General features: G+C 42.3%; 1 protein-coding gene and 1 pseudogene across 6 annotated transcripts in view; both read right to left on the bottom strand.

The window, feature by feature from the left end:
• Positions 14,194-25,066, bottom strand: part of HEATR3 (HEAT repeat containing 3) — a 41,303-nt gene continuing 30,430 nt past the window's right edge. For all 6 annotated transcript variants that reach the window (NR_138092.2, NR_138093.2, NM_001329729.2 and 3 more), the window contains 3 exons: positions 21,093-21,236; positions 19,031-19,207; positions 14,194-16,527 (listed from right to left, as the gene is read on the bottom strand). Coding sequence is in view for 4 of the 6 variants with exons in the window: in NM_001329729.2 (NP_001316658.1) it covers positions 16,405-16,527; positions 19,031-19,207; positions 21,093-21,236 (444 nt within the window). In the remaining 2 variants the exon portion in view is untranslated. The remainder of the gene's footprint in view (positions 16,528-19,030; positions 19,208-21,092; positions 21,237-25,066) is intronic.
• Positions 23,110-23,202, bottom strand: RNY4P3 (RNY4 pseudogene 3; annotated as a pseudogene).

Raw genomic sequence — 25,066 nt, 5'->3', positions numbered from 1 at the left:
CTTACAAACCTTGTCATATCATGTTAGTGGGACGGTTTCAAATGGATAGCCCCTGATCTGTTTTGAAACTAGCCAATATAGCTGGGTGCGATGACTCACACCTGTAACCCCAGCACTTTGGGAGGCCAAGGCAGATGGATCACTTGAGGTCAGGAGAACGAGACCAGCCTGGACAACATGGTGAAACCCTGTCTCTACTAAAAATACAAAAGTTAGCCAGGTGTGGTGGTGGGCACCTATAATCTCAGCTACTCAGGAGGCTGAGGCTGGAGAATTGCTTGAACCTGGGAGGAGGAGGTTGCAGTGAGCCAAGATCGTGCTACTGCACTCCAGCCTGGGCGACAGAGCAAGACTCCATCTCCAAAAAAAAAAAGAAAAAAGAAAGAAACTAGCCAATATAACCAACTTAAAATATAATGGAAGTCATTTCTCTTAGGGCTATAGAGAATATGTGAGACACAGTGAGTGGACTGTTTCTTGTGATCACATCTTATTTACCTTCAGTAATTAGCAAGGGACTGTGACCACAGCAATACAAGATTATTGACCTGTTCAAAGTTCTAAAACAGGACCTGAAAAACACAACCATAATTAATGTTGAATGATTAATCAACATCTATGTGTTGATGGCTGAAAAACCTTGAGTTATAAGATATTATCTCTGTCTAGCTTTTTAAATCATAATTAGTTTTTTTTGTGTGTGTGTATGTGTCTGTAAGACATTACAATTTTGCCTAGCACAGTGGTGAGTCCCTATAGTTCCAGCCACTCAGGAGGCTGAGGCGAGAGGATTGCTTGAGTCCAGGAAGTTCAAGACCACCCTGGGCAACATAGTGAAACTCCATCTCAAAAAAACAAACAAAGCAGCTATAAAATATTGCAGTTTCTCACAGGTGACACTATGGCTACGTCTGCTTGATTATTCAATCTGTTCAAGCCGGACAAGTTGTCAACGTGGCTACAAGTTCATGACTTTGGATCCTATGAAGATCAAAAGTTATGCTTAGGCCAGGCAAAGCTCACACCTGGTAATCCCAGAGCTTTGGGAGGTCAAGCTGGAAGGATCACTTGAGGCCAGGAGTTAGAGGCTGCAGTGAGCTATTATTGCACCACTGCATTCCAGTCTGGGTGACATACATAAATAAATAAGGTGGCACACAGCCTCTTGGCCACAATAACATCCTTTTCAAGAAATATCTGGGTACTTGACTAAATAGCTGTCTTTGCCTTTCATTCATTCATTCATTTATTCATTCTACCAATATTTAACACTGGGGTGCAAGGAGGCATAAGTAAGGACTGTTACTCACAGTCCGGTGGTCCATGGGTTTGTGGGTGTGTCTTCCAGCCAATGTGTCATTGTAGCCAAATCTTTTCTTAATTGGTTGGAGTGCGAGCTCCTGGAGAAGAGACACAAAGGATGGGTAACTCAAGTGGGGAAATTGGTGTTCCTGGAGCAGAGAATCCTGGTGCCACATCCTCAGATTCCCAAGTGATGAGAAGGAGGAAAGAAGAATGATCAGGAAGGATCTATCTCAACATATTTCCTTCCTTCTTTCCTTCCTTCCTTCCCTTTCCTTTTTCTTTCTTTCTTTTTCTTTCTTTCTTTTTCTTTCTTTCTTTCTTTCTTTCTTTCTTTCTTTCTTTCTTTCTTTTTCTTTCTTTCTCAACATATTTCCTTCCTTCCTTCCTTCCTTCCTTCCTTCCTTTCTATCTTTCTTTCTTTCTTAGATGGGTCTCTTTCTGTCACCCAGGTTGGAGTGCAGTGGTGTGATTTTGGCTCACTGCAGCCTCTGCCTCCTGGCCTAAAGCAATTCTCCCTCCTCAGCCTCCCGGGTAACTGAGAATACAGGCACACGCCACCACACCTGGTTAATTTCTTTGGTTATTTTTTTGTTTCACCATGTTGCCCAGGTGGGTCTTGTACTCCTGGGCTCAGGTGGTCCACCTACCTTGGCCTCCCAAAGTGGTGGGGTTACAGATGTGAGCCACCACACCCAGCCCCTATCTCAACACATTTCAAAGAACAAAAATCACACATCCCTCCCATCACTCCTTTTTTTGTTTGTTTGTTTGTTTTTTGGAGAGAAAGAATTTCGCTCTGTCAGCCAGGCTGGAGTGCGGTGGCATGAAATCAGCTCACTGCAGCCTTGACCTCCCAGGCTCAAGCGATTCTTTCACCTCATTCTCCAAGTAGCTGAGACTACAGGTACATGCCACCATGCCTGGCTAATTTTCTTGATTTTGTTATAGAGACAAGGTCTCACTATATTGCCCAGGCTGGTCTCAAAGTCCTGATCTCAAGCAATCGTCCCACCTCAGCTTCCCAATGTGCTGGGATTACAGGCATGAGCTACAGCGCCTGGCCCCTTCACTATTTCTTTTTCTTTTTCTATTTTTTTTGAGACAGAGTCTCACTTTGTCACCCAGGCTGGAGTGCAATAGTGCATCTCGGCTCATTGCAACCTCCGCCTCCTTGGTTCAAGCAATTCTCCTGCCTTGGCCTCCCAAAGTGCTTGGGATTACAGGCATGAACCACTGCGCCTGGCCCTCCTTCTAGCTATTTGAAACTATAGAATATATTATTGTTAACTGTAGTCATCCTATACAGGTGTAGAACATGAGAAATTATTCCTCTTATGTAGCTGAAATTTTGTATCCTTGACAAATGTCTCCCTATCCCTCCATTCTCCCTACCCTCCCTAGCTCCTAGTATCCTCTGTTTTACTTTTTACTTTTATGAGATCAACTTTTTTTTAGCTTCCACATATGAATATGGAACATGCAGGCCGGGCGCAGCGGCTCACACCTATAACCACAGCACTTTGGGAGGCCAAGGTGGGTGGGTCATTTGAGGTCAGAAGTTTGAGACCAGCCTGACCAACATGGTGAAACTCTGTCTATATAAAAATACAAAAAAGAAAAAAAAATTAGCCAGGTATGGTGGCACGCACCTGTAGTCCCAGCTACTTGAGAGGCTGAGACACGAGAATCGCTTGAATCTGAGAGGTGGAGGTTGCAGTGAGCCGAGATTGCACCACTGCACTCCAGTCTGGGCAACAAAGTGAGACTCTGTCTCAAGAAAAAAAAAAAAAAGAAGAAAAAAAAAAGAATGTGAACATGCAGTGTTTATTTAACTTTCTGTTCCCTGCTTATTTCACTTAAAATAATGTCCTCCAGTTTGATCCCTGTTTCCACAAATGACAACATGGCTGAATAATATTCCATTGTGTAAATATATCACATTCTTTTTATCCATTCATCTATTGTTTCCGGATGACCGGATAAAGTTGATACCATATCTTGGTTGATTCTATATCCTGGCTATTGAGAATAGTGCTGCAATAAACAAGGGGGTGAGATGTCTTTTTTTTTTTTTTGAGATGGAGTTTCACTCTTGTTTCCCAGGCTGGAGTACAATGGCGCGATCTCGGCTCACTGCAACCTCTGCTTCCTGGCTTCAAGTGATTCTCCTGCCTCAGCCTTCTGAGTAGCCGAGAGTACAGGTGCACACCACCACGCCTGGCTTATTTTTGTATTTTTAGTAGAGATGGGATTTCACCATGTTGGCCAGGCTGGTCTCGAACTCCTGACCTCAGGTGATCCGCTGGCCTCGGCCTCCCAAAGTGGTGGGATTACAGGCATGAGCAACAGTGCCCAGCCAAGATATCTTTTTGATATACTGATTTCCTTTCCTTTTAATAAATATCCAGTAGTGGGATGGCTGGATCATATGGTAGTTGTATTTTTAGTTCTTTCAGGAACCTCCCAACTATTCTCCTTAGTGGCAGTACTGGTTTGCATTCCTACTAACACTGCATGAGTTCGCTTTTCTCCAGATCCTCACCAGCATTTATTATTTTTTTGTCTTTTTGGTAATAGCCATCCTAGCTGGGGTGAAATGATGCCTCATTACGGTTTTGATTTGCATTTCCCTGACGATTAATGATTTTGAATATTTTTCTCCTATATTTGTTGGCCATTTGAATGTCTTCTTTTGAGATCATTTGTCCTTTTTTTTTTTTTTCTTTCGAGATGGAGTTTTGCTCTTGTCACCCGGGCTGGAGTGCAATGGCGCAATCTCAGCTCACTGCAATCTCCATCTTCCAGGGTCAAGCGATTCTTCTGCCTCAGCTTCCCAAGTAGCTGGGACGACAGGCACCCACCACCACACCAGGCTACTCGTATTTTTTAGTAGAGACAGGGTTTTACCATGTTGGACAGGCTGGTTGTGAACTCCCGACCTCAGGTGATCTGCCTGCCTCAACCTCCCAAAGTGCTGGGATTACAGGTGTGAGCCACCGTGCCTGGCCCTCGTTTGTCCATTTTTTAGATTGGAAATTTTTTTTTTTTTTTTTTTTTTTTGCTGTTGAGATGTTTGGGTTTCTTGTATATTCTAGATATTCATCCCCTACTGGATGAGTAGTTTGCAAATATTTTCTCCCAATCTGTTGGTTGTCTCTTCACTCTGTTGATTGTTTCCTTTGCTGTTCAGAGGCTTTTGAGTTTGATATAATCCCATTTACTTATTTTTGCTGCCTATGCTTTTTTTTTTTTTTTTTTTTGACAGGGTCTTGCTGTGTTGCCCAGGCTGGAGTGCAGTAGTACAAAAGGCTCGCTGCAGCCTCAGTCTCCTGCTGCCTGTGCTTTTGAGGTCTTATTCATAAAATCTTTTCACAGACAATGTCCTGAAGCATTTCCTGTCTATATATTTTCTTCTGGTAGTTTTATAGGTTCCAGTCTTACATTTAGTTCTTTGATCCATTTTGAGTTAATTTTTGTATAGAATAAGAGGTGAGGGTCTAGTTTCATTCTTCTGCATGTGGATCTTCAGTTTTCTTAGCACGACTGATTGAAGAGACTGTTCTTTCCCCAGTGAGTATTCTTGGTACCTTTGCCAAAAATCAGTTGGCTGTAGATAAGTGGATTAATTTCTGGGTTCTCTAATCTGTTCCATTGGTCTATGTGTCTATTTTTATATGTCAGTACCATGCTGCTTTGGTTACTATAGTTTTGTTTTTTTATATATATATATGTGTATATATATACACACACATATATGTATATATATACACACACACACATACATATATACATATATATACACATATATATATTTTAGAGTCTAGATTTTTCTTTCTTTAGACAGAGTCTAGATTTTTTTTTTTTAAGACAGAGTCTTGCTCTCTTGTTGTTGCCCAGGCTAGAGTGCAGTGATGTGATCTTGGCTCACTGCAACCTCCACGTACTGGGTTCAAGCGATTCTCATGCCTCAGCCTCCTGAGTAGCTGGGACGGCAGGTACATGCCATCATGCTCGGCTAATTTTTTTTTTTTTTTTTTGAGATGAAGTCTCACTCCGTTACCCAGGCTGGAGTGCAGTGGTGGGATCTCAGCTCACTGCAACCTCCACCTTCCAGGTTCAAGCAATTCTTCTGCCTCAGCCTCCCTAGAAGCTGGGATTACAGGTGCGCACTCCACACCTGGCTAATTTTTGTATTTTTAGTAGAGATGGGGTTTCACCCTGTTGGCCAGGCTGGTCTCAAACTTCTAACCTCAGGTGATCTGCCTGTCTCAGCCTCCCAAAGTGTTGGGATTACAGGTGTGAGCCACTGCACCTGGCCAGGAGAATTATCTTCTATCCTAAGGCAAGAAATCTAATATAATTGCCCTACACATTGACAAGCACTACTCCACAGGTGTGACTAATGAATAGAACTCTTACACACACAGAATGTAAATTTATGAACTTGCATATCTTAGACACACACAGAAAGACATTTCCCCTACTTCAAAGAACAACTTGAATATAACTTAAAAGCTGGGCATCGTGGCTTATGCCTGTAATTTCAGCACTTTGGGAGGCCAAAGTGGGTGGATCATTTCAGGCTAGGAGTTCAAGACCAGCCTGGCCAACATGGTGAAACCCCATCTCTACTAAAAATACAAAAATTAGCTGGGAATGGTGGCACATGCCTGTAGTCCCAGCTACTCAGGAGGCTGAGGCAGGAGAATTGCTTGGACCCAGAAGGGGAAGGTTGCAGTGAGCCAAGATTGTGCCACTGCACTCCAGCCTGGTGACAGAGCAAGACTCTGTCTCAAAAAAAAAAAAAATTAAAATTAAAAAATTTTAAAACATTGCCAGGAGTGGCTGTGGGCACCCATAGTCCCATCTACTTGGAGGCTGAGGCAGGAGGTTCTCTTGAGCCTGGGAGTTTTTGAGGCTGCAGTGAGCTATGATTGCACCACTGCACTCCAGCCTGGGTGAGAGGGAGACTTCAGCACTAAAAACAAAACAAAACAAAACAAACAAACAAACAAAAACAAAAAACAGAACAAAACACACACTCTCTCCCTCTATCTGTCTATCTATATAACTCAAATATGTCTTGCGTTGCCTTGAGTTCTCCCAAGGTTTCAAGTGCAACCAGTCGTGTGGGAGGTAGGTAATCCCAAGAAACACAGTGGGCAGAGGGGAATTCCAGTAGGGAAGGGATGGGAGCAACAGTGGGTGTGTTTTCCAGCAGGGTCCCCTGGGAGCCTCTAAAACCTAATCTGCTAGAGAACTCTGGGAGCCAATGTAGAATGCGCATCTGATCCTCCTGCCTAAGGGGCAGGAGTGTGGGACCTTTGTGCACCTCCACCTGTCAGTCATCCATGGAGGGATTGGGGCAGGTTAGTCCACTCCCTGCACTTCTGACCTGTCATTCTGTGGCAAAGGAGGACCTGGGGGCTCAAGGAAGTCCTCAGGCAGGGAAATACAGTGGGTGGCAGCTGGAAGTCAGGCTGGTGTCACCAGAATGTCAGGATGAGGGCAGGAAGGCGGGACTCCAACTGCACAGGCCACATTCTCTTCCTCAAGCTTCTACATAGGCTTTAGTGCCTCTTTTCTCCTGTTTCTTTCAGAATTCATTGGGCGGTGTCATCCCACATACCACAGAGATTTCTCAGGCTTCTCATTCTTGTCAGTGAGTCTTGGAAGGCAGGAAGGGACAGGGACTTTCTCACCTTCCAGCACCTGCAGGGAACCAGCGTGGTGAGCACGGAATCACGTGTGGCCTCCAGATACCCAGTGACCCATTCTTTCTAAAGCCCTCTTTAAAGCAAGGAGAAAATCCAGAATGCAAGAGGGATACTCAGGTTTCTGGTTCTTATTTTTCTTTCCAAATGTAAAGAGAAGAAATCTAGGCCGGGTGCAGTGGCTCGTGCCTGTAATCCCAGCACTTTGGGAGGCTGAGGCAGGTGGATTGCTTGAGCTCAGGAGTTTGAGACCAGCCTGGGCAACATAGTGAGACCTTGTCTCTACAAAAAAGTACAAAAATTAGCCGGGCATGGTGGCACGTGCCTGTGGTTCCAGCAACTTGGGAGGCTGAGGTGGGAGGTTAGTTTAAGCCAGAGGTTACAGTGAGCCAAGATCACACCACTGCACTCCAGCCTAGGTGACAGAGCCAGACCCTGTCTCAACAAAACAAAACAAAACTTTTCTTTAAAAAAAAAAAAATAGAAATAGGGTCTTGCTGTGTTGGCCAGGTGGCCTCAAACTTCTAGTCTCAAGCTATCCTCCCACCTTGGCCTTCCAAAGTCCTGGGATTACAGATGTAAGCCACCATGCCCAACCCAAAATACTTTTCAAGAATTATCTTCTAGGCCGGGCGTGGTGGCTCATGCCTGTAATCCCAGCACTTTGGGAGGCTGAGGTGGGTGGATCACCTGGCATCAGGAGTTTGAGACCAGCCTGAGCAACATGGTGAAATCCCATCTCTACTAAAAATACAAAAAATTAGCTGGGCATGGTGGCAGGTGCCTGTAATCCGAGCTACTTGGGAGGCTGAGGCAGGAGAATCGCTTGAACCCAGGAGGCTGAGGTTGCAGTGAGCTGAGTTCGCGCCATTGCACTCCAGCCTGGGCAACAAGAGCGAGACTCTGTCTCAAACAAACAAACAAAAAAAGAATTCTCTTCTAATATTGTTTTAACTGTTTATCATGCATGGGTATTACCTGTTTTATTAAACACAACTTTAAGAAAATAGGAAGTATATCTTCTTTCAATACAGCAATGGAAAATGTCATCTGAAATTTTCAGAACTTATTTTACCTTATTATTTAAGGTGAAAGTGACAGATCAAAAGTGAACATTTCCATATCTTTCATATAGCTTTAAGGCTTTTTTGGTAGTTTATGAGAATATTTTGTCAAATTGTGAAATGCTTTAAATTTATGTGCAAATTTTCATGAAAGTGTGCAATATGCAGTTGTCTATTTCATTGCAGTGTGTAATGTTTTAAAGACTCTAATGATTTTAAACTTAATTTCCGTTTTTGTACATTCATCTTTGAAAGAAAAAAGGAGGCTAGACATGGTGGCTCATCGCTGTAATCCCAGCACTTTGGGAGGCTGAGGCAGGTGGATTGCCTGAGCCCAGGAGTTTGAGACCAGCCTGGACAACAAAGGGAGACCCTGTCTCTATTTCTTTTTTATTTAAAATTCTTTTAAAAAATGAAAAAAAATGAAGGTGATTATTTGAAACAGCTTTGTGAAAATCACTTCAGCTCCATGTTCTGTACCTGTTCCACTATATGTAATTTAAAATCTGATGGGCCTAAAAGCAAATCCATTATTCCTTTATTTATCTATGTATTTTCACCGCAGCCTCAAACTCCCAGGCTCATGCAATCCTCCTGCCGTGGCCTCCTGAGCAGCTGGAATCACAGGTGCAAGCCACCACGCCTGGCCATTATTCCTTTAATGCAAGAACATTCATTCAAAAATATCTTCATTTCAGGCCAGGTGCGGTGGCTTACACCTGTAATCTCAGCACTTTGGGAGGCTGAGGTGGGCAGATCACCTGAGGTCAGGAGTTCGAGACCAGCCTGGCCAAGATGGTGAAACCCTGTCTCTAGTAAAAATACAAAAATTAGCCAGGAGTGGTAGCGGGCACCTGTAATCCCAGCTACTTGGGAGTTTGAGGCACGAGAATCACTTGAACCTGGGAAGCAGAGGTTGCAGTAAGCCGAGATTGTGCCATTGCACACCAGCCTGAGCAACAAGAGCGAAATTCCATCTCAAAACAAAATAAAAAAAAACTTCTTCTTATTTTACTTGAATAACTAATTATCTTTATGTTAAATAAACTCGCGATATTGGTTCCCACAAATGAGAGTAGAAAAGTGTTTTTCCTGGTTTCACTCTCTTTTTTTTTTTGAAATGAGGACTCGCTATGTTGCCCAGGCTGGTCTCAAACTCCTGAGCTCAAGGAACCCGTCTGCCTCAGCCTCCCAAAGTGCTGGGATTATAGGCGTGACCACTGCACCTGGCCCTGGTTTTGCTCTTACTAAATGGAAGAAATTGAAGATAGTAGATTCTTTATTCAAAAAGAATGTGTTCTTTTCATGGGCAAGCATACATTGCTGAAAATGTAAAAATTTTAGGGCAACTGTGTTCTCATAATTAGGACTCCTATATAAGAGCAGGAGGGATAAAAATACATTTAAGCAAACTCTCAAAACCACTTGTTTATAATTTCTCACTGCATAGAATAAAATGACTCAAGTTAATTCTGTTCACTAAAAGAAGAAAATGCTCAATTAAGTGGACCAAAATAGTCCCAATTAAAGATATACATTTCTCTGATGAGCAAAAATTGAGAATCTTCCATGATATGAAGACGTAACTTTTTTTGTTCTTAGATAAATTAATATGTACTTTTAATTCACAAAAGGGACAAGATAAAAAGACCTTTAGGCCAGGTGTGGTGGCTCACGCCTGTAATCCCAGCACTTTGGGAGGCTGAGGCAGGTGGATCACTTGAGGTCAGGAGTTCAAGACCAGCCTGGCCAACATGGTGAAACCCCGTCTCTACTAAAAAATACAAAAATTAGCCAGGTGCAGTGGTGCGTGCCTGTATTCCCAGCTGCTCTGGAGGCTGAGGCAGGAGACTCACTTGAACCCCAGAGGAGGAGGGTGTAGTGAGCTGAGATCACGCCATGGCACTCCAACCTGGGTGACAGAGTGAGACTCCATCTCAAAAAAAAAAAAAAAAAAAAGATAAAAAGTGCATTAAAATTAAGACCTTGTTAGACACAGTGGCTCATGTCCGTACTCCCAGCACTTTGGGAGGTGGAGGTGGGCGGATCACTTGAGCCCCAGAGTTTGAGACCAGCCTGGGCAACATAGCAAGACCCCGTCTCTACAAAAATTAAAAAAAAAAATGATCTGGGCATGGTGGCATGTGCCTGTGGTCCCGGCTACTTGGGAGGCTGATGTTGGAGGATTGCCTGAGTCCAGGAGGTTGAGGCTGCAGTGGTCCATGTTCATGCCACTGCACTCTAGCCTGGGCAACAGAACAAGACCATGTAAGATTTTGAAGCTCTTGATTGTGTACGTGTGTGTGTAAACCAACAGAAGCAGTAGGCAGGCTTTGAGGTTTGGGAGTAAAGAACCCAAAAACTTCCTTAAAAAGGAAATTAAGATTTCGTAGGAAAATGCTTTCTCACCTCAAACTACAGGTGTGTTCTACCTACCTTAGGCCTTGTTTTCCATCTCAATAGACCACTATTCAGTCCATTCCCTAAGTGGGAAACCCAAGCGTCATCTTAGCATTTTCCTTTGCTCCCTCTTCCAAATCCTCTGCATCACCAGTTCATCCATTTATGCAGGAGGAGGACATTAGCAATTGTGACTCCTTCCTTCAGCTGTGGCTGTCTCTTTGTTTTCTCCTTCATACGTTCCTCTGAAGACTGCTTTGACTTCACCGGCTCCATTTCCTCCCATCTCACACTCCCCCAACTCCCTCCAACCTGACTTCTGACCTGCTCACCATGGAAACATCCCCTGCTAAGATCCCCAGTGATATCCATGCCTCGAAACCAAGAGACATCCCTCATCCCTCCTTGCATCTCTCAACTGCATCCATGCTCATGGCCCCTTCTTCCTTCTGAAGCCGCTCCCTTACTTCTTTTTAAATTTTTTTTTCTTAAGACAGGGTCTCACTCTGTTGCCCAGGCTGGAGTGCAATGGCACAATCTCAGCTCACTGCAACCTCTGCCTCCCATGTTCAAGCAATTTTCGTGCCTCAGCCTCCCAAGTAGCTGGGACTGCAGACGTGCGCCACCACACCAGGCTAATTTTTTGTATTTTTGGTAAAGACGGGGTTTCACCATGTTGGCCAGGCTGGTCTTGAACTTCTAGCCTCAAGTGATCACCGGCCCTGGCCTCCCAAAGTGCTGGAATTACAGGCATGAGCCACTGTGCCTGGCCACTCCCTTACTTCTTGACTGCACTCTTCTGTTTTTTTTTTTTTTCTTTTAGAATGTATAAAATGAGGCCAGGATCTGTGGCTGTGGGACACCTGTAATCCCAGCACCTTGGGAAGCAGAGGCAGGTGGATCACTTGAGGTCGGGAGTTCGAGACCAGCCTGGCAAACATGGTGAAACCCCATCTCCACTAAAAATACAAAAATGAGCCAGGCATGGTGGCACATGCCTATAGTCCCAGCTACTCAGGGGGCTGAGGCAGGAGAATCGCTTGAACCTGGGAGGCGGAGGTTGCAGTGAGCTGAGATCATGCCATTGTACTCCAGCCTGGGGAACAAGAGAGAAACTCTGTCTAATCAATCAATCAATAAAATGTATAAAATGTAGAGGCGGGGTCTTGCTTTGTTGCCCAGGCTGGTCTCAAACTCCTGGCTTCAAGTGGTCCTCCTACCTAGGCCTCCCAAAGTGCTAGGGGTACTGGTGTGAGCCACTGCACTCAGCCTTCTGGTTCCTTCTACATCTCAGGGGACTCCTTCTGTGTTTCTTTTCAGGTTCATTCTCCAACCAGGCCAGCACTTACTAGATTTCTTCACAACTTCGTCTCAATCCTCCTTATTTTCTCTTTCTAGCTCTTTCTAGACCAGTAGTTCTCAAAGTGTGTTCCACAGATCCTTTTCGGGGGGGGGGGTCATGAGGTCAATACTGTTTTCACAATACTAAATGCGACTTGGCTTTTTTTGCTGTGGTGGCACACTGGGGCTGTGGACACTAAAGTGATGGGATGAAACTGCTGGTGTCTAGTATGAATCAGGGCATGGGCACCAAACTACTAATTATCACTGCATTCTCCCCAATCACGCACTTAGAGGAAAAACAAAGCAAGCTGCACCCAAGACTGTAGTTGATGAATTAGTAAAAAATAAATAATAATTTATCAAACTTTGACTCTTGAGTATGTCTTTTTCCATATAGATACTCGTTATTCTAGCACCATTTACTGAAAAGACTATTGTTTCTCCATCAAGTTAACTTGGCACCTTAGTGGAAAATCAATTGATCATATAATTATGGGTCTATTTCTGGACTCAATTTTGTTCCATTGATCTGTATGTCTTTACTTATGCTAAAACCATATGATTTGATTGCTTTAGCTTTATACACAGTAAGTTTAAAATCAGGTTGCATGACGCATATGCACAGCCAAACACACCCAGGTCAGCTCCCCACCTTTTTTTTTTTGAGACGGAGTCTCGCTCTGTCGCCCAGGCTGGAGTGCAGTGGCACAGTCTCGGCTCACTGCAAGCTCCGCCCCCCAGGCTCATGCCATTCTCCTGCCTCAGCCTCCCAAGTAGCTGGGACTACAGGTGCCTGCCACCACACCTGGCTAATTTTTTTTTTTTTTTTTTTTTTGTATTTTTAGTAGAGACAGGGTTTCACTGTGTTAGTCAGGATGGTCTTGATCTCCTGACCTCATGATCCACCCACCTCGCCCTCCCAAAGTCCTGGGATTACAGGTGTGAGCCTTCACGCCCGGCCAGCTCCCCTTTTTTTTTGAGACAGAGTCTTACCGCCCAGACTGGAGTGCAGTGGCGTGATCTGAGTTCACTGCAACTTCCGCCTCCCATGTTCAAGCGATTGTCCTGCCTCAGCTTCCCAGTAGCTGGGACTACAGGGGCATGCCACCACATCCGGCTAATTTTTGTATTTTTAGTAGAGACAGGGTTTTGCCATGTTGGCCAGGCTGGTCTCGAACTCCTGGGCTCTAGTGATCTGCCCATCTTGGCCTTCTAAAGTGCTGGGATTACAAGTGTGAGCTACTGCGCCCAGCCCCCAACCTTTTTTTTTTTTTTTAAGAAAGGTTTTGCACTGTTGCTTAGGATGGAATCATGATTCACTACAGCCTCCATCTCCTAGGCTCAAGCCATCCTCCTGCCTTAGCCTCCCAAGTAGCTGAAACTACAGGTGTGCGCCACCAAGCTCAGCTAATTTTTTTTATGTTTAGCAGAGACAAAGCTTCCCTATGTTGCCCAGGCTGGTCTCAAACTCCAGAGCTCAAGTGATTCACCCGTCTTGGACTCCCGAAGTGCTGGGATTACAGGTGTGAGCCACTATGCCTGAACAGTGTATATTTCTTTCTTTTTTTTAACAGAGCTCACTCTGTTGCCCAGGCTAAAGTGCACTGGTGCAATCTTGGCTTATTGCAACCTTCACCTCCTGGATCCAAGTGATTCTCATGCCTCAGCCTCCTGAGTAGCTGGGATTACAGGTATGGGCCATCACACCCGGCTAATTATTTTTTTTTTGAGGTGGAGTCTTGCTCTGTTGCCCAGGCTGGAGTGCAGTGGTGGAATCTTGGCTCACTGCAACCTCCACCTCCCAGGTTTGAGTTTCTCCTGCCTCAGCCTCCCAAGTAGCTGGGATTGCAGGTGCATGCTACCACACCCAGCTAGTTTTTGTATTTTTGTAGAGATGGGATTTCACTATGTTGGCCAGGCTGGTCTCAAATTCCTCACCTTAAGTGATCTGCCCACCTCGACCTCCCAAAATGCTTGGCCTCCAGTGTGTATTTCTAACGGGCTATTCTGGGTGATTTTCAAATAAGTATATTTTAAAGCAGACTTTTTTTCCCCTATGGTCATACAGAAAAAGCTCTCCATTATCCTGTGCCATGAATAATACTTGCATGCTCTATTGAGTTATTATGTAAATAGTTAAAACTGTATGCTGTATTTATGAGTTGTTTTCCCTTCTTTTGTGTCGTTAGAGTGGTAAAGTTGAATGGGAGAAATCCAGACCCAATTATCCATGCCTCAGAATCTAAGAGATTTTTAGGATGGCACATCTTCAGTGTCATCTCATCTTCTACCGTGTTTAAGGATGATTCTGCATTCAACAGCTGCTTTAGAGCTTGCTTAGTAAAACAGAAAATCACACACAAAACAACGAGAAAATCACCAGCATTTATTTACTCAACAAATATTTATGAAGAGTCGACTATATACTAGGTCCTGTGCTAAATATCCTGGATATTGTTTATAGGTCAGAAACTGTGGGGAAGAATAAACAGAATGAGGAACTTTTTTCTCCTTGAAAATAATTATATTTTATAAATAATTGAGGCAGAGAGAACTCTAATACTTTCTTTTTTGGAAGAGTCGTTCTCCAAGGAGACATGCTTGGGCCAATCATTTAGCTGAAATGATCACTAAACATACATATATACCTTAAAATTCATGAGCAAGGACCATAATAAAGCGAGGTGTTGTATATGGTATACATTTCTGTTTTCCCACCATATACACAATTTGGGTTATTTTACTTGGTGCCATGGGCTAGGAACTCTTAGGGCTGGGAAACAATCTTGGTTTCCCAACAGTCTATATCATATAGGTGAAAACTGTAAAATACATCACAGTGCAGATGAAATCTAACACTACTAGCTCATTTTGTGCTGCTGTGGAAGCAGTGAATTAAAATTAAGTCCTGTACTGGGGATTGGGCCTTTTGTCAGGGCAACTGAGATCAACTGTACAGAAATTTTCAAATTTCCCTTCTCATCAGGCAAACGGATGGACAATGAAGCCGGTTCAGAGGCCCAGCCGAGACAATGATGCACAGGGAAACTCCCTCGAGCCCCAGCTGTCACCTAGTACTTCGAAGACACTGAGAGGTAATGCTGCAAAGTCGTGCTGTCATTTTTTTAATGTCTCACATATATTCCAAGCAATATGCATTAGCAAACAAATATCCACGAATAGTATCATCTCATTTTCTACTAATAACCCTTTATTTGGTATCTTAAAAAAGATTTTGTAAGACACAAAACTTTCCATTAAAAAGTTGTTTATTTAAAAATACCTTCTCCCAATTCTGATTCCATATCAAATTAAATCAAGAAGTGATGTTACAGCAATAACTCATCAAAGTCATGAGTAGGGAGGATGGCAATGACCCCATTAGCTCATTAGTATAATCTAGTAAGTGAAATAGAAATTCAACTCATTTACTTCTTCACAAAAGGCAAACATAATTGATATACTTCATATCAAAAAACTAGTTTATAAAGCTTGTCTTCATATTTCAGTTTAAGGTTCAACTGATATAAAATGCCTTAAAAGAACATCCAAGCAATGCTTTGGATTTTCTTTCTTTGCAAAATTCAAGGAAAACATGATTGGTTGAAGTTTCTTCACTGCTGGCGAATTAGTTAAGAGCTACCTGAGATTCCTTCGCACTTCCACTCTTCCACTCTTTGAGTTTCCAGTGATTAAAATATGCCAGAGACATAATTTAGAGAGCGCTAGAAATGCCACACAGATCTCATCACTTAAAAAAGAGTTTCTGGCCAGGCACGGTGGCTCATGCCTGTAATCCCAGCACTTTGGGAGGCCAGGGCAGGCGGATCACTTGAGGTCAGGAATTTGAGACCAGCCTGGCCAACACGGTGAAACCCGTCTCTACTGAAAAAAAAAAACAAACCAAAAAACCAAAAACAAAAACAAGGTGTGGTGGTGGGTGCCTGTAATTCCAGCTACTCAGGAGGCTGAGGCATGAGAATCGCTTGAACCTGGAATGGCAGAGGTTGCAGTAAGCCAAGATCGCAGCACTGTAATACAGCCTGGGCAGCAGTGAGACTCCATCTCAAAAAAGAAAAAAACAACAAAACAAAACAAACAAACAAAACACACACACAAAAAAACCAGCAACAGAGTTTCTGACAGGTTTTGAAGTTTTTTTTTTTTTTTTTTTTTGGAGACAGGGTCTCCCTCTGTCACCCAGGCTGGAGTGCAGTAGCGTGATCTCAGCTCACTGCAACCTCTGTCTCCCAGGTTCAACCGACTCTCCTCCCTCAGCCTCCCGAGTAGCTGGGATCACAGGCATGTGCCACCATGCTTATGCATGCGGTTTCACCATGTTGGCCAGGCTGGCCTCAAACTCCTGACCTCAAGTGATCCACCCGCCTCGGTCTCCCAAGGTGCTGGGATTATAGGCGTGAGCCACCATGCCTGGCCAGGTTTTGAAGTTTTTACAGAATGTACAGAATGTAATCATTAAAAAATGACTTTCAGAAACATATACATTCAAAGAAAACCTTTTAGTATTCTAAGCATTGAATACTTTGGGGGAAGAACTGGTTTCTTTTTTGGATTGTTTAAGAAGTCAGTCTTTTCTCAACAGTTTCTTGATAAGCAATAAATCTTCGCAAATTCATTTTCACATTGTCAAGAACACACAGCTGATCTGTGCTATAGTTACCTCTCCCTTCTTTACGTATCTGCAAACAAAAAACAAAAAATCATATATGACTTGGTAGATATGATTAATTCATTTAAATAAAGTATTTAATTTAGGGTGTATTTAACCATTTGCTGAAGCAGATAGCTGTAAGAATTTGGAAAAAATGTTTTTACTTCCAAGGTAAATGGAACTCGGTAAGTAAAGAATAAACTGAGAATGTGCATTATTAAAAATGATAGTTACAAAGGTGACTGAATGGCAGGTGGTAGGAGTTATATAAACTATAGAAAGGAATTATGTAAACCATGAATTGGGAAAATAACCCCTAACCTCTGAAAGGTCTGCTGTTCAGATTGATTTTCCTAGTTAGTATGCATTGCTATGGTAATAATACTTAATTGTTTTTCTTCTCTCAAAGGTATAAAGCCTTAATGAAATTCCTTTGTTAGGCTGGGTGCATACTCATGCCTGTAATCCCAGCAGTTTGGGAGGCCGAGGCAGGAGGTTTGCTTGAGTCCAGGAGTTCAAGACTAGCCTGGGCAACACAGTGAGACCCCACCTTAAAAAAAAAATTCCTTTGTTAGCCAGAGGTTAGTCTGTAGTGTTGTGGTTTTTTTGTTTTTGGAACAGGGTCTCTCTCTGTCGCCCAGGCCAGAGAGCCGTGCTGCAGTCATGGGTCACTGCAGCCTCGACCTCCCGGACGCAAGTGATCCTCCTGCCTCTGCCACCACAGTAGCTAGGACTACAAGCAGCGCACTACCATGCTGGAGTAATTTTTTTAAATTTTTAGTAGAGGTGGGGTCTCACTATGTTGCCCAGGCTGGTCTTGAACTCGTGGGCTCAAGTGATCCTACCACCTTGGCCTTCCATAGTGCTGGGATTACTGGTGTGAGCCACCATGCCCAGCGCTGGTTTTGTTTGTTTGCTTGTTTTTTGTTTTTAATAGAGATGGGTCTTGCTTCATCGCCTAGGCTGGAGTGCAGTGCTGCAATCCACTGAGCTCACTGTAGCCTCCAACTCCTGCACTCACACGATCCTCCTGCTCAGCTTCCTGAGTAGCTGGGATGACAGGCATGAGCCACCACTTAATGGCTAACTTAAAAAAATTTTTTTGTAGAGACAAGTTCTTGCTATGTTTCCCAGGCTGGTCTTGAAATCCTGGACTCGAGTGATCCTCCCACCTGGGGCTCCCAAAGTGCTGGGATTACAGGTGTGAGCCACTGCGCCTGGCCTGTGGTTTTTTATATCAATTGTATGGAATCTGAGTTTGATCTCACCTCTAGTCTAGAGCAGTGGCTCTCAGGTTTTAGTGTGCAACGGTATCATCTGGAAGGCTTGTTGAAAAATAGACTGGTGGGCCCATCCACAGAGTCTATGACTCAGTAGGTCAGGAGTTGGGGCCGAGGACCTGCATTTTGAATAAGTTATCAGGCAAGGGCTGATGCTGCTGATACAAGGAGGGCACTTTTGAGAAACACTGCTCAAGAGAAGTTCTTGATTGTACATAAATGCATTTTGCAGCTAAATATACACTGAATAGCCTTTAACACAAATTGTGGCTTCATTTAGCAAAAAAAAGAGTTTCACATAAATAACTACAGGCTAGCCTCTGGCTAGGAAGAAATCTCATTAGAGCTTTATACCTTTGATAAAAGAAAAACAAATGTTATTACCACAGCAATACATACTGAGTAGGAAAATCAATCAGAACAAAGACCTTTCAGAAGTCAGGGGTTATTTTCCCAGTTCACTGTTTAACCTTTTTTAAGCACCTGCTTCTGCAGAGTTTGATGACTCTAACTATTAATATATCTGCTTTCCTTGAAGCTGCAGGGAAATAGGGGATATTTTTTTCTTATCTTGCAAGCTCTTTATCCAGAAATTTAAAGGACTGTAACCTTTAAGAACAATATGGCTGGGCACAGTGGCTCACACCTGTAATCCCAGCACTTTGGGAGGCCAAGGTGGGCAGATCACCTGAGGTTGGGAGTTCGAGACCAGCCTGGATGACAAGGCGAATCCCCGTTTCTACTAAAAATACAAAAATTATTTGGGTGATGTGGTGGACACCTGTAATCCCAGCTACTTGGGAGGCTGAGGCACAAGAATCACTTGAACTGGGGAAGGGGAGGTCGCAGTGAGCCAAGATCGCACCACTGCACTCCAGCATGGGCGACAGAGTGAGATTCTGTCTCAAAAAAACAAAAAAAAGTAAAATTAAATAAATGCAAAATGTGTATGAAAGTGCTTTGCAAAATACAGAGTATAATACTGACATATATGAAGCATTGTCAAAATTACTAAACTTAAAAAAAGAAGAACTTGTCAGATACCATTTTAGCTTCAGTTTCAATGATTCAGTAGTCACACTGTTGAGCTATGACTCAGTCAACGAACATTTTACAAAGTACTGGGGATGCTGTGCTACATATGGGGATTCGTCATGCACATGCTTCTGAGTTGCACAGCGGTAACTACACACACCCTTGTCCCCACAGAATGTTCAGACTTATGTATTTATAAGTTAAATGGCTACAAACCTTCATTTTAAAGACCGGCTGGAATTCTTTCAGAGCAGATAATAATTTAATTTGAATCGAGGCTCTTTCGGCTTCTTTACCATCTGCAAAAACATCAAAGAGGGCATCCAAAGCTTCTCCTGCTACCACAAGGGAAGGATCTTTGGTGGTAACTTCAAGCAGAAAGCACCCAATGTTCTGGAAACAACAAAACACATTTAGTATGACTAACACCAGTCTCCAAAACAAGTACCAACTTTGAATGTGGCAATAACTCATGCATACTATTTTATATACAAATGCCAGGGAAAAATTAAAACTTCAAGAGATTAGACTTAAATACTTATAAACATACCAAGTATAAGCAAGATAAATTAAACATATTATAGTTTATATTCATAAATAAAGTGAATTAAAATCCATAAATGATGTATGATTTTGGAAATCACTAAATTTTCCCCTCTACCTCTCTCAAAAAGGATTTCTCCATGATGTCAAGATGCATAGAAATATTATCTGTAACAACAACGACAACAACAAAAAATCTGCTTTTAAAAGCATAAGAAAAACACTTTAGGCCAGTTGCAAGTGGCTCACACCTGTAAGTTCAGAACTTTGTGAGGCTAAGGCGGGAGGGTCGCTCGAGCCCAGGAGTTCAAGACCAGCCTCGGCAATGGAGCAAGACCTCATCTCTAAAAAACGTAAAATAGGACTGATCTGAATCGAATCTAGTCTGTAGATCTAACTGTCAGTTTGTAGGAAATACAAGGATAAAAAAACAAATTTACCACCACAAGGTAGCAATCAGACAAATCCAGAAGGTTTTGGACACTATATTGGACAACTGATCCAGGAGGTGAGAATAACCACGTGGTGCCGGGGAGGAACTGTTCAAGATTAAGAGAGAAAGAGAAGACCCCACAGGAAACATAACATGTGGACTTCAGCAGTGTAAACAAGCTCTCTGTAAACAGATAATTTTGAGGCAACTGTAAAATTATGAATATGGACCAGGAATTAGACACACTAAGAAATAACTGTTGCCGGGTGCAGTGGCTCATGCCTGTAATCCCAGCACTCTGGGATGCTGAAGTAGGTAGATCGCTTGAGCCCAGGAGTTCAAGACCAGCTTGGCCAACATGGCGAAACCCCATCTCTATTAAAAATACAAAAATTAGCCAGGTGTGGTAGTGGGCACCTGTAATCCCAGCTACTCGGGAGGCTGAGGCAGAAGAATTGCTTGAACCCAGAGGCGGAGGTTGCAGTGAGCCGAGATCACACTACTGCACTACTGTACTCCAGCCTGGGTGACTGAGACTCCATCTCAGAAAAAAAAAGAAAAAAAAAAAAGCTTTGCAAGTATCATTTTTCAAAAATAGATTCTTAAAAACATCAGTCATCATTGTAAAGTTCTTAGCAGGTTAAGAGGTACTTTATAATAATGAGTTTATTATCCACTAGTCTCACACTTCAGCAATTATTAGCACACCAAAGTGTAATGTTACTATGACTGTCCTTTTAATTACTAGTGACGCTGTACTCCTAACAGTGCAGTTTGTGAGCAACTGTGCTAAGTGGTAAGAGCAAATATGCTGAGGGAATTGCTAGTATATTGGCACTACCAGGGTTGCTGCTTAAAATTTATGGAGTGGTATTAGAATTAATTAACTGTGTTGTATTTTTCAGAATGCATGTTGCCTGGTGTGCAAGGAAAATGGTGTGGATTGTTCATTCATCAGCAGGAGAATGTAACATGCATACATTGGATGCAACAGCAAAGGCAGAAGGCATCTTTAAAAATTCTGAATTTGCCCTTTCACTAAAGACAGATTTATTTTTTTAAAAAAGTACCTCTGGAATAACGTTAAATTGTAAAATGTGGCTCAACTTTTCAAATACTTACCTAATTAATACACATAGTTAGATCAAGCCAAAGGGTATATTCTAATAATATGACTCAATAAAGCAACTTGATATGACTTCTTCTCTTCAAGTCCACACAAGTTTTAAGAAATCCTACACCAACAGTTCTTCTCCCATTTCTAATTATTTAACATGTTAGGTCAGAAGCAAATTGTTTTACCTTAAGAGTTTCAAGTGTACCATCTTCTTTGGCAAGGACGCTGCCAGTGATTCCTAAAATGCTAACGACATTCACTCTAACCCCGACATTACTACTATGAATGCCTGCTTTGCATAATGTCATCAGCTGATCAGGAGTCATGCACTGTTAAAAGAGAAGAGGACAGTATTTATAATGTTAAACTCAATTAATTCTATCAGCATGTGAAAACCGGACTGACAGGAATCTCCTCTATAGGCTACAGGATTTTAAGAGTGACATAAACTCCTGGCAGGTAAGTTACTATTAATATGTATTCCAGTTCTCCCAGACAGAGCTGGTAATTCTGAACTAAGGTGAACCCTGCTCATGTCGGCACTGTTATCTAATATCAAAGGGGCTCCATTTAATTTGATGAAGACTTTCATTCCAGATGTACACACACTAAAGAGAGTCCAATTCCTTTTTAATATTAATGGTAAGAAAAAGGCTTTGAAAGTATAAATAGGATTGTGTGGTTTTAAAAAAATTGGCTGAGTCTATACAAGGTAAGAACTTACTTTGAGATATCTGTATTATCATAATTAAAGACTGTAGAAACCATTACATTATATGGTGCTTCTACCATGTAGTGGATAATTTTCAGTTTAAGGCTGGGCGCGGTGGCTCACGCCTGCAATCTCAGCTACTCAGGAGGCTGAGGCACAAGAAACGCTTGAACCTGGGAGACAGAGGTTGCAGTGAGCTGAGATTGTGCCACTGAACTCTAGCCTGGGCAACAGAGTGAGACTATCTCCTATAAGCAGCAGCACAGTGTAGTGATGAAAGGCTTGGAATCTGGAGCCAGACACAAAGGCTTGGAATCTGGAGATTGAACCCTGGGTTCAAATCCTAGCTTCACTACTTATCACTCGTGTGAGCCCCTACACTAGACTAATGTATTTTTATTTTTTGTAGACATGAAGTCTCACAAAGTTGCCCAGGCTGTTCTTGAACTCTTGGGCTCAAGCAATCCTCCCGCCTCAGGCTCCCAAAGTGTTAGGATTATTAGTATGAGCCACTGCACCTGGCCCTGAACATGGGCTTTGAGTAATTTTCCTTAACCATCACACTGATCCCATAAGCTGCTGCTTACATACCAGGGGAAATCAATAAAAATACTTGATATTCCTATAGGCCCTAGAGTATAAGGTTTTCTGGTCCATCCAACAGCCACATGGCAGGCTATGCATCCCATTACCATTCCTACTTCTTAGAAACTGAGGGTCAAATTATGCTCTTCAAAAAAATTCTTAGCTTTGGAAAGCTGAGGCAAGAGGATCACTCGAGAGCAGGAGTTTAAGACCAGGCTGGGCAACATAGCAAGACCTCATCTCTATTAAAAAACTAAAAAATAAAAATAAAGTATAAAAAAATTTTAAAAGCATTAAGAAAAAAATTATATAAAGAAGCAAAAAGAAATAGTGTTATTGGCAATAACAAGAGCATTGTTATTTTGATACTATTAAGTACATTCCGTAGGATAAAGCAAATAATAGTTTTAATGTCACTACAATTTTAATGTTACTACAGCAAACAATTTTAATATCACTGTATAGCAAATAATTTTAATGTCTTTTAATGTCACTACTACAAAGTACATTCTGTAGGAGAAAGCAAATAATAAAATTTTTGAAAAATATTTTTCTTTCTTTTCTCTAATTTTAATTTTTAAATTATTTATTATTATTATTATTTTTGAAACGGAGTATCGCTCTGTCGCCCAGGCTGGATTACAGTGGCCCGATCTTGGCTCACTGCAAGCTCCGCCTCCTGGGTTCACACCATTCTTCTGCCTCAGTCTCCTGAGTAGCCAGAACTACAGGCACCCGCCACCACACCCGGCTAATTTTTTGTATTTTTTAATAGAGACGGGGTTTCACTGTGTTAGCCAGGATGGTCTTGATCTCCTGACCTTGTGATCCGCCCACCTCGGCCTCCAAAACTGCTGGGATTACAGGCGTGAGCCACCGTGCCCGACCTATTTATTATTATTTTTAAAGCCAGTCAAACTTAGCGTGGGGGGTTGTATACCAACTTCAGTGACACTAATGTTAATAAGTCCTGATAACCCACTACCATCAGACCAGCTGCAAATAAGAATTTTAATGTCACTAATGTATCTTTTTGGGTACAATGTACCTTTTTGGGTACAAATGTATCTTTTTGGGGGATACAAAAAGATAGAAATACAAAATCGAAAATTAAGTAAAAATATTGTACCATTTTTTATTTAAACTGGAAATTATCAGGATAAACTTACTATTTTTGTCTCCTAAAAAAATGCCTATTTCCTAGCTATTTCCACTAAAAAGACCTAGAAACAATGGCAACATGATAGCAATAAGCACTCCACAATTCACTTTCCCCACTAAAGAAATCAGAGCTTCTTGGAGAAGTAACTAATTCCAGGGTTTTTTTTTTTTTTTTTTGAGACGGAGTTTCACTCTTGTCACACTCTTGTCACCCAGGCTGGAGTGCAGTGCAATCTTGGCTCACTGCAACCTCCACCTCCTGGCTTCAAGCGATTCTCCTGCCTCAGCCTCCCAAGTAGCTGGGATTACAGGCGCGTGCCACCACACCCAGCTAATTTTTGAATTTTCAGTAGAGACGGAGTTTCGCCATGTGGGTCAGGCTGGTCTCAAACTCCTGACCTCAAGTGATCCGCCCACCTCAGCCTCCTAAAGTGTTGGGATTACAGGCATGAGCCACTGTGCCTGGCCAGATTCCAGGTTTTAAGCAAGAAAATTACAAATTGAACCTGGGACATCCTATGCCTGGAAGCAAAAGTGATCAAAAACCTAAAATTCTTGTAAAAGAGGCACAGGAGCCAATTTGAAGGGACTCCTACTATCCAAAGATGGGATGAATTTGGCAGCAAAAAGCATGACTATAATGGAATGAAATACAAATATATAAAAAACCCTGAGTTCAAAATGATACTAAAAAAAAAAAAATCACTGGTCACTTATAGAGATTGCTAGGATAGCTATTCTGAAAAAAAAAAAAATCATAGCTAATAAATGTAAAAAAAAAAAAAAGAAAAGACAAAATTAGGGTATCTCTATTCTGCAACCCACTAATGACATAATGGAGCCAGGCAACCACAATCACTGGTTATAAAACCATTATGTGAACCCACTAATTAATCTCAGCATCACTATTTTATAATATCATATGATTTGTGATATAAATATAGGAAATATATAAAGCACTATAAATTATTCTTGCCAAAAAATCTGGACCTGTCTAGATTATTTATTATAAATACAAAAAATAAATAAATAAATAATCTGGACCTGGATCTAATTAAGGCTCTAGACCTAGCTCCCGGCTCACAGGAAACATGGGGGACAGAGGAATGCTGAACGATGCCATCATGATGAGTTGGCCAAATCTGCCAGTGCAGAAAATGCTACGGAACAAAATGAGAGTTTCTTCAATGGGTAAGTGTATGGGGAAAGGAGGGGAGTGAGGGAAATGCTATAGACTAAGAGATTTAAGAATATGAGAATATACTAAAACCACTGAATTGTACACTTTAGTTACTTATTTTTGAGACAGAGTCTCCCTCTGTCGCCCAGGCTGGAGTGCAGTGGTGCAATCTCAGCTCACTGCAACCTCCACCTCCCAGTTCAAGCAATTCTCCCTGCCTCAGCCTTCCAAGTAGCTGGGATTACAGGTGCCTGCCACCATGCCCGGCTGATTTTTGTATTTTTTGTAGAGATAGGGTTTCGCCACGTTGGCCAGGCTGATCTTGAACTCCAGACCTTACGTGGTCCACTGGCCTTGGCCTCCCAAAGTGCTGGGATTACAGGCGTGAGCCACTGCAGCTGGCCTGAACTGTATACTTTAAATGGATAAACTGCATGGTATGTGAATCAAATCTCAGTAAAATTTTTTTTAGAGATAATAAGAGACCAAAATATCAACCAAAAGCAACACATGAACCTTGC

Source organism: Homo sapiens, chromosome 16 (assembly GCF_000001405.40).
Source record: "Homo sapiens chromosome 16, GRCh38.p14 Primary Assembly".
Classification (NCBI taxonomy): Eukaryota; Metazoa; Chordata; class Mammalia; order Primates; family Hominidae; genus Homo; species Homo sapiens.
This window is presented reverse-complemented; position numbering and strand designations above follow the sequence as displayed.